General features: G+C 36.7%; 1 protein-coding gene across 15 annotated transcripts in view; it reads right to left on the bottom strand.

Moving 5' to 3' along the window:
• The window catches only part of GK (glycerol kinase), a 78,040-nt gene continuing 70,122 nt past the window's right edge, over positions 5,324-13,241 (bottom strand). For 8 of the 15 annotated variants that reach the window (NR_174369.1, NR_174370.1, NR_174371.1 and 5 more), the window contains 3 exons: positions 12,605-12,685; positions 9,234-9,320; positions 5,324-8,054 (listed from right to left, as the gene is read on the bottom strand). Coding sequence is in view for 8 of the 15 variants with exons in the window: in XM_011545491.3 (XP_011543793.1) it covers positions 8,044-8,054; positions 9,234-9,320; positions 12,605-12,685 (179 nt within the window). In the remaining 7 variants the exon portion in view is untranslated. The remainder of the gene's footprint in view (positions 8,055-9,233; positions 9,321-12,604; positions 12,686-13,241) is intronic. The other 7 variants (NR_174373.1, NR_174374.1, NR_174375.1 and 4 more) reach the window with 1 other exon arrangement.

Here is a 13,241-nt window from a genome sequence, read left to right as displayed (position 1 = left end):
AAGTGTGAGCCACTGTGCCTGGCAGTTTTATTATACTTGGATGCTATGGCACTTACAACGTATGATCAAAATGCTGATGGATTGTAGTAATAAAGAATACTTTCTTAATAACTTTGTAAATCTCAACATGTAAAAAGCTAATGACAATGATAATAGAGTTAAAGATTTGCCTGGTATTGACATGATAATGATGCTATCAACATAAGGGACAATTTAACACGATTTTGTCTTGATTTGGTCATGTTTATAGATTGTTATATAAAAAGATTTTTTTTCTGTATACCTTTCTAGAATCATTCGGTGAAAGGCAAAAGCAAAAAAATAAGAGTAAAAAAAATTTGGTTCATATTGAGAAAATAATGGAGGAAGAATTTTGCCTTGGAATTGGTTGATTCTAGTATGTCATTCCAAGACTCAAGTATAAACAGAAGTTTTTTTTTTAAAAAAACGCTTTTTTAATAGAATAGGCTATAACTAAGAATATATTTATGATTGAATAAATTTAGCAGAGTATATGTGTAATTAGCAGAGATATTTGAAGTATTAAGTGTTAAATTATAGAGAAATGTCTATAAACCTGACTTTTATGATGAGCTAAAAGTCTAAGGAAAATCAAAGATGCAAGAGCGTAAACAGATTGTTGGATTCAGTTAAGCCTCTGGTTTTTACGATCTTATCATGAAAGCATTCTGTACATCTCCCACAGTCACTACAATGCTTTCACTTTACTATGATTACCAAAAACCAGTACAGTAGCAACTTCTGCTGATAGGAAGAAATGTCTAAGACAGAGAAGCCCGACTGTGGAAAGTAGCGTCACCTAGCGGCCGAATTTGTTTCTTACAGGAGACCAGCTTTTCAAAAGATAACTGGGTCACTAGAGCCTATTCTATTTACATGGCCTTTAGCAAGCTGATAAAAGAGTTTAGGCTGAGTGTGGTGGCTCACACCTGTAGTCCCAGCATTTTGGGAGGCCGAGGTGGGAGGATCTCTTGAGCCCAGGAGTACAAGGCCAGCCTTGGCAATATCGTGAGCCCTCCCCGATCTCCACAAAATTTTTTTTAAAAATTAGCTGGGTGTGGTGGCACGTGCCTGTGGTCCCAGCTACTGAGGAGGCTAATCCTGGAGGATGGCTTGAGTCTGGGAGGTCGAGACTGCAGTGAACCGTGATTGTGCCACTACACTCTAGGCTGGGCAACAGAGCAACACCCCATCTCAAGAAAATAAATAAAACTTAAAATAGTTTAGACTACAAGTGATGGAGTTGGAAAACAAGGGAATTTTTTTTTTCCCTAAGCTTCTGATTCTCTGGTTGAAAAATAGGGGAATCTTGTATGGTACAATTCCTTAATAAATGTTGATTGGATATCTGAGACATTTCAGCAGAAATGGTTCAGCATCTCTCCACATTAAAATCACTTAAAATTGGCATTATGGTGTCTAAAATACAACCTAATAATAATAATAATAAAAAAACACAACCATTGAAGTCCTGTCCACTATGATCTAAATGTAAGACACCTATGTTAACACTTGTAGCTTCACCAGTTCTTCGAGCTGGGCACAGAAATCCTTGGCTTGAGCTACATAGGTGCTTGGCTCAAGCCAAGAATCTGGGGCTGGATAATGGTGTGAATATTTTCTTTCCTTAGTTTTGAAGGGCAATCTTCTTTTGGGAAGGCTCAGGTGGCTAGCAGGGAGTGCAATTCAATTAGCCAAACACAGTTGTTGGAGCTAATTAGGAGTCAATAATAAACAGCTGCAGGCTTCAGCATATACAAAGCCCTGTGTACGACAGGCACGGCCCTGCCCACGCCTGCCATCCATGGGTGTCTCTCTCTGAGAGGGAGAGAAGGGGAACATGGTGTCTCTGATGAACACCTGTATATATGGGAGACCTGACAAAAAATCTCCTTCCAATAATTTTTATTATTCCAGTCTTAATCCATAGAAGATAATAGCTCTGGTTTTGTTTATTCTAAATGAGCCTGCTTAATAGAAAACATTAAGAATCTCTCTTATACTCATTTCTGATTATCCTGAACAAAAATATGTACTCTGGCCGGACACAGTAGCTCATACCTGTAATCCCAGCATTTTGGGAGGCTGGGGCGGATGGATCACGAAGTCAGGAGGTCGAGACAAGCCTGGCCAAGATAGTGAAACCCCGTCTCTACTAAAACTACAAAAATACCAGGCATGGCTGCGTGCACCTGTAGTCCCAGCTACTCCGGAGGCTGAGGCAGGAGAATCGTTTGAACCCGGGAGGTGGAGTGCAGTGAGCTGAGATCGCGACACTGCACTCCAGCCTGGGCGACAGAGTGAGACTACGTCTCAAAAGGAAAAAAAATGTACTGTCTCTCTGTGTGTGTGTGTCTGTGTTGGGGGTGAGTGTATATCCTTGCAGGATACACATCTATTTAACATATAGAGTTAGAGAATTAACTGAACCTGTGGGATGGAGACATAGAAAACATTGAAAAGTCACGGAAGAATCCTAATAACTTAGTTTTATTCATTAGTTATGTCTCTTCCTTTAAAATCGATTAGATAATGCAACTAACTAGCAGTAACGTCTCCCTGAGTGTGGGCAAGGAGAATTAAAGTATCAAACCATAATGGGGGAAAAACCCAGCATAGGTGAAATTAGAGAATTGTTCCATTTTAGAGTCAAGTTTTCCTTCAATAGCAGGTTTTAATCACCTCATCACCCTACCGTTTTAACCACGTTTTTGTGGTATTTTAAACACATATTATAAAGGAAACAAATGTCATTCCATTTTATTATTTAGTACTTTCTTTGGACTGTAATGAATTAGAACCCGGAATACAATAAAACAGGTCTTCTGCGTAACTTAAAATCTAATTTGATGATCACAATTATTTTCCCTTGGACATTACAGTTAAATGTAGAGTCAAGACTTTTCTGTCTAGAAACTTTCTAGCCTTAACACATAATTACAAATATGGTGGTCTTACAGCTATGCAGTTATCTATTAAAATTCATGGAAGGTACTATATAGAAAACACATGGGCATTTCTTTTTTGAGTCTTCTAAATTCTGTTCATAACAAGTGAATGGCTAAGGAAGGATGTAATTTCTTTTTTGTTTGTGTGTTTTGTTGTTGTTGTTGTTGTTAGAGATGGAGTCTCACCCTGTCACCCAGGCTGGAGTGCAGTGGCGCCATCTTGGCTCACCACAACCTCCACCTCCCGGGTTCAAGCGATTCTCCTGCCTCAGCCTCCCAAGTAGCTGGGATTACAGGCGTGTGCCACCATGCCCAGCCAATTTTTGTATTTTTAGTAGAGATGGGGTTTCACCATGTTGGCCAGGCTGGTTTCAAACTCCTGATCTCAAGTGATCCGCCCACCTTAGCCTCCCAAAGTGCTGGGGTTACAGGCGTGAGCCACTGCGCCTGGCCAGGATGTAATTTCTAATACACACATTATTTCTTCTGTATATTGATGCTTTGTAGGAGGTGCTTGAAATAATTCTGCCAGAAGATCAATAAAATTTCAACCCTTTTAATTGGGAAGGCTGTCAGTACTAACAAAACTACACTGATAGACAGACAGTGACTAACGAATTCAGATACACACAATCAGGAGCAACACACCTTATATTTTTATTATGAAATATATGGAGCATACAGAAATGTAGAGGATAGAATAAAGACATGTGTACCCACCGCTAAGCAGTGCCAAATCTTAAGGTATTGCTACATTTGTTTTAACTCTTAATTTTTTTAGAAACACAACTTTCCAGGTTTCAGCAAAGTCCCTTTCCCTGACCCCATCCTCCTCTTTCAGAGGTAACCACCACTAAACTTGGTATTTATCATCTCTATGCCTATTTTATACTTTCAGTTCACTTGTGTCTACATACATGACAGCCCTGACTAGTTTGCATGTTGAAATTTTTATATAGTTTATGAACACTCAAGTTCTATGAAATATTCCCTTAAAGTCTGGGGAAAAATCAAAATAACCACAGGGATCATTTTAGGACTATGGGTGACTTTCTTCTTTCTAATCTCTTTCTTTTTCCCATTTTTATAAGAGGAGTAATATTCTCATTTCCAAGCAGTTTTATCAAAGAAATGAAGTGGACAGACTGGGCACGGCAGCTCACGCCTGTCATCTCAGCACTTTGGAAGGACAAGGGGGGGGGACGGGAGGCGGATCACAAGGTCAGGAGTTCAAGACCCACCTGGCCAACATGGTGAGACCCCCGTCTCTACTAAAAATACAAAAATTAGCTGGGTGTGGTGGCGTACACCTGTAGTCTCAGCTACTCGGGAGGCTGAGGCAGGAGAATTGCTTGAACCTGGGAGGTGGAGGTTGCAGTGAGCCCAGATCACGCTACTGCACTCCAGCCTGGGCAAGAATGGGACTCCATTTCAAAAAAAAAAAAAAAAAAAAATATATATATATATATATATATATATATACACACACACACATATACACACATACACACACACATATACATACACACACACACACACATATGTATAGTGAAATTTTTTCCCACCCCTTTCTCCCAAATGCCTAATTATCAACCCTTTCTGTCCCAGTGGATAAGCACTATTAACAGCTTTTCTGTCCTTCCAGCATAGGCAAACATTCTAGTTTCTGTCTCTCTCTCTAATAGAAGGGTAGCACACTTACATGCTACTCCGCACCTTGCTTTTTCACTTATCCCAAATACCATATCTTTCTAGACAGTGTCCTCATTCTTTTCTAAAGCTACACATTTTCATTGTATGGCTGTACCAGAATTTATTTAACAAGTTTCTCTTTGTTGGATATTGTGGTGATTACTTAAATGATTTCATATTTATGAAATCCACTTGTAAACTAGTCATACAATAATAAGAAACCTATGAGATAGATATTATCAAGTTCAATAATAAGGAATAAAAGAAACTAAATTTTAATACTAAACAGGAAAATTGAAAGAGGCTGAAGCTGCTTTTTAAAATAAAATATTGTCATCCTCTCAACTGTTATGCTGTCAGGTAGAACTAGTTATTTGAAATAGAATGAAAACTGGCAATTAAAGGTATTGGCCTAGTTGAGAAACTTGTTTTTAACCTAACTTCTCCTTCTCAGAATATTTATCTTTATGGTCCTCAAATTTAATTTAATGGGTCATTTTCATTAAATTTGATGACAGGGAAATCTCAGGAAATACCTGTGAGAGTTTTTTTTGTCTACGATATTTGGCACAGGTTATATTTAATTATAAGGCCAGAATTAAGATATGTACCTATAAAGTATACACAAAGTAGAAATCAGATTGATTTACAAATTCACTCAGTTTTCTACTAATTTGTTTATTGTGTGAACTTATTATTAAAGTTGTTAGGTTGCAAAAGCAAAGGATCAAGGAAACTTCATTATTTAAATATTACTAGATAAAACAAGCTATTAAAGAGTTATAGTTAAAAAAATTTTTGTACTTCTATCTACTATGTTGTAAACACTACAGATTAAATACTACCTACTCCACTGTCAATGCCATTAGCTTCTGTGCTATCACAGCTTTCATTTGTTGGTTTCTCCAAAAACTTTCTTTCTTCACTCCCACATGATACCAGATACCCAAAAGATATCCCAAAGAATTGGGCTTTGGGCACTTCAAAAGAAACATACTAAAAATTCTAAGATATCATTACAGAAGCAGAGATGCATTACTTATTTTACTGATTAGTTGGAGAACAAAGGATTGAGGTGTTGCCTATCAGGTTGAGAGAAAAATGGTGGTCAAAGTTAGCCATGCAAGGCCCTGTTGATAATGGCTGCTGACCTTACCAACATTATTTTTTGCAAATGCTGAGATGGGACAGTGTAGTTTCTTCTAATAGAATGATTAAAGTGTTCATCATTACAGAAATTACTTCTTTGGCTGTTGGTTAACTCTTCAGAGTGTGCCCTATCAAGCGCTAACAGCCAAGTTTCACATGTCCTGAAACATCTTTTTTTTTTTTTAGTAGAGATAGGGTTTCTCCATGTCGGTTAGGCTAGTCCCGAACTCCTGACCTCAGGTGATCTGCCCACCTCGGCCTCCCAAAGTGCTGGGATTACAGGCGTCAGCCACCGTGCCCGGCCTCTGAAACATCTTTCTTAATTTAACTTTCAACTAAGTTCTAGTCTGTAAATGAGAAATGCAAGTAAGAACAAGGGGTCAATTTATTTTAAGTAAATTTGTCATTAAATATCAATGTGTACAATTTCAAACATTTATAAATCTTCCAATTTATAGAAAAATTAATGTAATCTTAAAATTATTTGAACAGTGGCTTTCACAATTATTTACAATGAACTCAACCTACTTTTGTAGAAACATTTATGTTTAAAAGTACCCCTGCCACAAAGTGATCATTTCACAGTACCTTTCTATAATATTTATGTCACTTAAGTGGTGGCTGCATCAATAAAACCTAGCAGATTCAATAAATTAGAAACAGCACAATCAGAACAGTCAATAAAGCTACCATTGATTCCAAACAAAACAGAACCTTTTATAGTAAGATATAAATGTTTTCCCATTCAGCACTCATTGAAAAAAATAATTAGGAGGCAATCTTTTCTTCACTGTTTACTACAAAACAAAGTAATTTTAAGATATTTTTAAAAATTGATGTTAAGAAGCAGGATTAGGTAACTTCTTATAATATGTGACATTAAATATTTTGAGAAATTCTTGGTTTCATTGGAAGGTATTTGTAATGATAAACCTTCTTTCAGTTATAATGAGATACTAAGCAGAGGTAATTCTGTCATCCCAGATAGCAATTTCTTATTAACAATTGATAACATTTGAACTGAAAGAGATTCTTGGCTTTATTTCTATATTTTTTTCTACTTAGGTATTTAACTTTTTTGACATCCTCTTATCCCCTCAATAGGATCCAAAATATGTCTAAAATTAATTCAAAAGAAAAATAACTATTTGAATTATTGCTTGTGTTTGAAAACAATATTTACTGTAGTATTCCACAGTTTCTTCTTTTTTTAAGCTAAGACAATTAAATAAAAATGTAAGGGATAAGAAATATAGTTGAAGTCACAATAAAGTATATTTTCTTTTATTGACATAAAACATAAATTTTAAATGTTGGCTTGTTAAGAAAAAAATTCTCCTGGTAAATATTATGCATAACCGTTGCCCAAAAATGTATACAGCTGTTTTCCAACATATTTATATACACAGTGGTTCACTTAAGACCAGCCCTGTTAGAACCTTCTGAATATAATGTGCTCTTAATTTATAAATGGGCTACCCTCAGTGTATAAAATATATAGGCATGTATGTTATACATACAAAGTAAAAAATATAAAAAGGAAAGATGGAAGAAAAAAGAAAGTATCTTTTCCTATAAGATCCAGACAGAAAGTCATTATAATTAGTGGGACCATGGAAAACATCTGAAGGATTTCAGTTTTGGCAAATAACTTTTCAGAAAAATATCCAAGCTGTGAGAACACTAAATGTCTATTTTAATAATTTAGTAGAGGTTTCTATTCAAACATTCAGTGAAGATGTTGCTGTCTTCAACTATGTAGAAAAGAAGACTTTTAGGGTGTCTGTTAAAAGCAAAGAGCTGCTGATTTTTAACAGGTTAGTAATAACCTTTTAATCAAGTATATGTCATGCAGAGACTCAAATCCTGGTCCAAAAGTGTTTGAGTATGTTCGATGGAAGATTCCAATGGTAAGGATCCGAATTCTTCCTACATCTTAGAGGGAATGGAGCAGGATGTTATGGCAATGGAGGGGGTCAGCCCCAAAGGTAGCTGGCCCAACCTTAACTGTGGATGTTTAAAAAAAAAAAAAACCACCAAATATTTCTATAGCATTCTTTTTGCTGCATTTTCTTTATTTTAAGCCACAGGTCTACTTGGAGGGTCATGCAGCAAGTGGCTTATAAATAAAATCAAAGTCTATGAATAGTGTCATTGCATTAAGAGACAGAATTGCTGGGTTCTTTCATTATGTAAAAAGCTCACATCTTGGGAATCCATGAGTTGGTAGGTTTTATGGAATACCTGAAATGGGGAACAAAAACCATATATGTCAATAATACATGCATACAATTCAGGAGTTAAAGCAATGCAGATGATTCAATCATTTATTAAGCTAGAAAGTCCATATGATTTCTAAATCATGCCTCACAATTAAAATGCAACAAACAGGGCCAATTCCAAAATTAACAAATATTGCCACTGTTGCTAATCGTTTACCAAGGCAAACAATTTCCAGCCCTCTCAAATTGCAGTGTATGTCACCGAAGAGATAACCTACATATAGTGACCACATGCATTTTAGAAGTCTAAGACTCTAGACACATAGCCCATCTTTTAGCTTAGAGAGATGCAACCTGTCTCAATTTTCATAGAAACAAGGCCTTTTCATGAAACCCTAATCATGAATTTTTTTTTTAAGTTTCACTTTCATGGGAACATACAGAATAAGAAGCATCATTTCCATTTAAGCCAGTAATTTTAAGAAAAATTGAGCTATCACCAGGAGCAGCTTCCACAAATGGCTATTATAAATTAATAAGATTATGCAATATATTCCATAACATGCTGAGCCATTTTACTTTTATTAAAAAAAGATTATTCAGTATAAATTAATGTGGAAAAATAATTCTGTTTTCATTTCAACCCCTTCATTTAAGGAATCATTTTTAAAACTTCAGTTCATAAAAGATATTCTTTTAACTAAAATAAGAGTAACTATAAATCTTCCCTGGTTTTAGGGTTTTACAGGAACTCTGTGGACATGCTCTGGCTGAAACTTGCCAGAATTGAAAAGTTAAGACTTGCTTAGCAAATTTTCAGGATTATGAAAAATAATTTATATACATTTGAAAGACAATTTAATTAATGTCAAAAGTATACTTTAACTTTCAGCAGTCAGTCTGAAAGTCCTTTCATTTAAATATTAGTATTTTCACTTTTGCTTATTGCTGCAGCTGACAGCAGAATGTAGTCCCTCTTAAAGAAGTCATCACATTAAAAATTTAAAAAGGGTAAGCAGAGTCACAGTTCTTACTTCTAACTGCCCCCAAAGATTAATTGGTCTAACTAATTAGACCTTTTATTGATTTTCCAGCTTCCTAGACACAGAAAGAATGAAAAACACTGAAAAATTTCTGCTAAGTTATACACGAAAACATTAAAGCTAACTAATAGAGTTGTCTAATTTAAAGAGTAACTAACCTGAGATGTACCTTGCTCCGATTAACATTACCATGCTACTCACTATAAAAAAGCCCAAGGGCAGACTACAGAAGATACTAGGGTCACCTGTGGTCATCCAAGCAGAAGAGAATTCCAGTCAAGCAAACCAAAAGAGAGACACATAATTACAATATTTGTGTTAAGAATCACAAGATAGCAAAACAAAATAAGCTATAAAAATAGTATATTCATAAAAGCTAGCAAAGAGTTATTACTTCAAATCAAAAATATAATCAATATTGAAGGTTTATGACAGTTAACAAACAATACAGATAGCATGCCACACAGCCAAGAACATAATACATATAGACTAACATTAGCCTTCCACTGGCAAAGCCAGAGTGAGCCTATGGATAACTTTTTGGGAGGCTGTTAATTTTAGCTTTCTTGATTCTTCCCCCAAATATATTAAATGATCTATTTAATTCCACCTAAGTTCAAATTATAGTTCTCTTTTGGCCATGAGAGAAGAGTTATATTAGTGTCCTAAGATGAATTTAAAACCCTATGTTTGCTAAAATATTAGTTCAGTTTTATTTTTTTAATAGAATTTGGTGCGTAACAAAATGCACCTGACAATACATTTTAAACACATATGAAAAGTATGTTAAAAATTGTTTACAAAGCATTCAAATATAGTCACAAACAAGAAAATAATTATGATTGCTTCAAAATTGGCAAATTGCTTTGAAACTTAAGCAAGCCTGATATTCTTCCCATAGGTTAAGATACAGGTAGCAATTCTAATATCCTCTCAAGTTTATCAAAATAGGATTCTATCTATATTGCTATTATCATATAACTTATATAGTTATATAGCTTAGATTGCTTAAAGGAATACAACTAGCATTTTATTACTATTCCAAGCTTATTATACAGCTTAGAGACCCCCAAAATATTAAATATTAGAGTGTTTTTCATAAATCTATTCAAAAAACATTTTCAGGCCGGGTGCAGTGGCTCACGCCTGTAATCCCAGCACTTTGGGAGGCTGAGGTGGGCGGATCACCTGAGGTTGGGAGTTCGAGACCAGCCTGACCAACACGGAGAAACCCCATCTCTACTAAAAATACAAAATTAGCCGGGCATGGTGGCGCATGCCTGTAATCCCAGCTACTCGGGAGGCTGAGGCAGGAGAATTGCTTGAACCCGGGAGGTGGAGGTTGCGGTGAGCAGAGATCGTGCCATTGCACTCCAGCCTGGGCAACAAGAGCGAAACTCCATCTCAAAAAAAAAAAAAAAAAATCAAACTGGCTTAAATCCACTGCAGCCTAACTGAAACAAAAACAAAGTTCTTTAAAATATAAAACTCTCAAAAGATCAAATTACTTTTATCATTAATGCTGATAGCAGAAATTGGAGCAATGATATCTTTTTTTGTTTGTTTTATCAACTTTTTCTTAGTATTTTAAATTCATTGATAGTAAAGTACACAAACAAGGGAAAAATGATCAGTTGATTTTGTGGGAATTTTGCAGTTAAAATTACATCCTCAACCGCTAGTGAGGAGAACTGTGTATCTGTGTGTAAGGCATGGGGTTGGAGGGAGGGAGACAGGAGGATTAAAATGCCATTTTAAGGCCAGGCGCGGTGGCTCATGTCTGTAATCCCAGCACTTTGGGAGGCTGAGGCGGGTGGATCATGAGGTCAGGAGTTCAAGACCAGCCTGGCCAAGATGGTGAAACCCCCGTCTCTACTAAAAATACAAAAAAATTAGCCGGGCACGGTGGCAGGCACCTGTAATCCCAGCTACTCAGGAGGCTGAGGCAGGAGAATCGCTTGAACTCGGAGGGCAGAGGTTGCAGTGAGCACAGATCCCACCACTGCACTCCAGCCTGGGCAACAGAGTGAGACTCCATCTCAAAAAACAAAAAACAAAACAAAATGTCATTTTAAACATGCCATTTAAAGTGCCATTTTAAAACATCCAGCTAGTTAAAGAAATAATGTAACTCAATTTCCTATAAGCAATAATTAAGGGCAACTAGAAAAGAAGTCAAGGCTTACGTCTGTTATATCTCACACAGCAACTAGCACTGTGCTAGAAAAGTACTTATGATTGAGAAGTTTAGTTGTAAAGGGTCTCTCAAAATTACAGTCTTAGCAAGAAAAACGTTGCCACCATCTTGGAAAATGAAGCTGAGTCTCACAACAAAAGATATTAAGCTTATTTAGGAGAAAAACAAAAGCTTCAAATAGGAACATCCGGGACTGAAAATACAGACCACAGTTATCTGTGGCAGTAGATAGTTCTGGAAGCTTCTCCTAAAAAACAGATACATTAACTTTGGGGTTGGAAGGCAGGTATTATTTCATTTGTCAACTCTTCCCCATTAAAGTATATGCTCAAGCCAGGTGCAGTGGCTCACACCTGTAATCCTGGCACTTTGGGAAGCCAAGGCGGGCGGATCACTTGAGGTCAGGAGTTCCAGACCAGCCTGGCCAACATGGTGAAACCCCGTCTCTCCTAAAAATACAAAAAAATTAGCTGGGCATGGTGGTGGGCGCCTGTAATCCCAGCTACTTGGGAGGCTGAGGCACGAAAATCATTTAAACCCAGGAGGCGGAGGTTGCAGTGGGCCAAGATTGTGCCACTGCACTCTAGCCTGGGTGACGGAGCGAGACTCTGTCTCAAAAAAAAAAAAAAGTATATGCTTCAATAAATTATCTGCCATTGTTCCATTCATTATGCTCCACATCTTGCATTTAGCAAAAAATAATAATACTATGCATCTTAAGGCTGTTTAAATCTAAATGGTTTACTTAAGCTCTTGACCTTCCTAAGTGACTGAAAGGTAGAATAGTCCACTATTTTTTCTGCTAAGAGCACTTCCCAATCTATTTATAAGAGTTCGAATTTACTATGTTTGGTATATTTCTTTCTCTGATTCCAAAGGAATTCCCATTATGTACTTGGAATCAGCCTAGGAAGTAGCAGAATATATTCTGAAATTAATACAGCTTTCAGTTGGTTCAGGTCATAAAGACAGCCCCCCAAAAAGGTAAAGTAAGAGGAGAGGGGAAAAAAATGAAGACTCTAGTTGATTTTTTTTTTTCATTAAGAAGAAACTAGAAATAATTTTACTCTTGGAAGACTAAGTTGTCAATTGAAGTACCAAGAATAAACTAATAAGGAAAGATATGGCAGGATAAAGTTAAAGTATGTATATCAACCTGATAATTTACATTTTGTGTTTAGAACTTTAAAGTGTTTTCAAAATGTCAGAATCTCTGGACATATGATAATGCTTTTCTTCAGAGCAGCCTGGCTATGTGTAAATGCCTAGATACTTAAATAACTATTTAATATACTAAGAAAATGTGACAATAATAAACAAAAACATTTTTACCACTTTCTGGAGATTGAGTTGTAACCCAACCCATTGACTTCATCACAGCTTTCTTCCATGTAGAATAACGAATTTCACTTTCTAGAATTAGAAGGTAGAAAAAACACATAACGAAAGGTAGTTTGCTGAGATGTTCTTAGTACCATACTTATGATCACTCAACATTCTTGACAAATTATTGCACACATTAAACTGCAGTAGGGCTTTAGCAGGACTCAGATTTGAAAGCACATGGTTGCTGATGACTGCCAGTGACTGGAAGACATGCTTGCTTGGAAGTTGGAGTGAAACAGGACACAGGGAGGCTGGGTGTAGTGGCTCATGCCTGTAATCCCAGCATTTTGGGAGGGTGAGGAGGGAGGATGGCTTGACCTCAGGAGTTTGAGACCAGCTTGAGCAATGTGGTAAAACCCTGCCTGTAGTACCAGCTACCTGGGAGGCTGAAGCAGGAGGATCATTTGAGCCTGGGAGGTGGAGGTTGCAGTGAGCCAAGATCACACCACTGCACTCTAGCCTGGGTGACAGAGCAAGACTCGGTCCCAAAAACAAACAAACAAACAAACAAACAAAAACAGGATAGGGGAAATTCAGCAGGGTAAAGGGAGATTGGCAGACAGACTGCCTGCTATGCAGACTG

The sequence above is a fragment of the Homo sapiens genome, chromosome X, assembly GCF_000001405.40.
Source record: "Homo sapiens chromosome X, GRCh38.p14 Primary Assembly".
NCBI classification, from domain to species: Eukaryota; Metazoa; Chordata; class Mammalia; order Primates; family Hominidae; genus Homo; species Homo sapiens.
The sequence above is the reverse complement of the archived record's forward strand: the minus strand, read 5'-3'. Positions and strand labels throughout refer to the sequence as shown.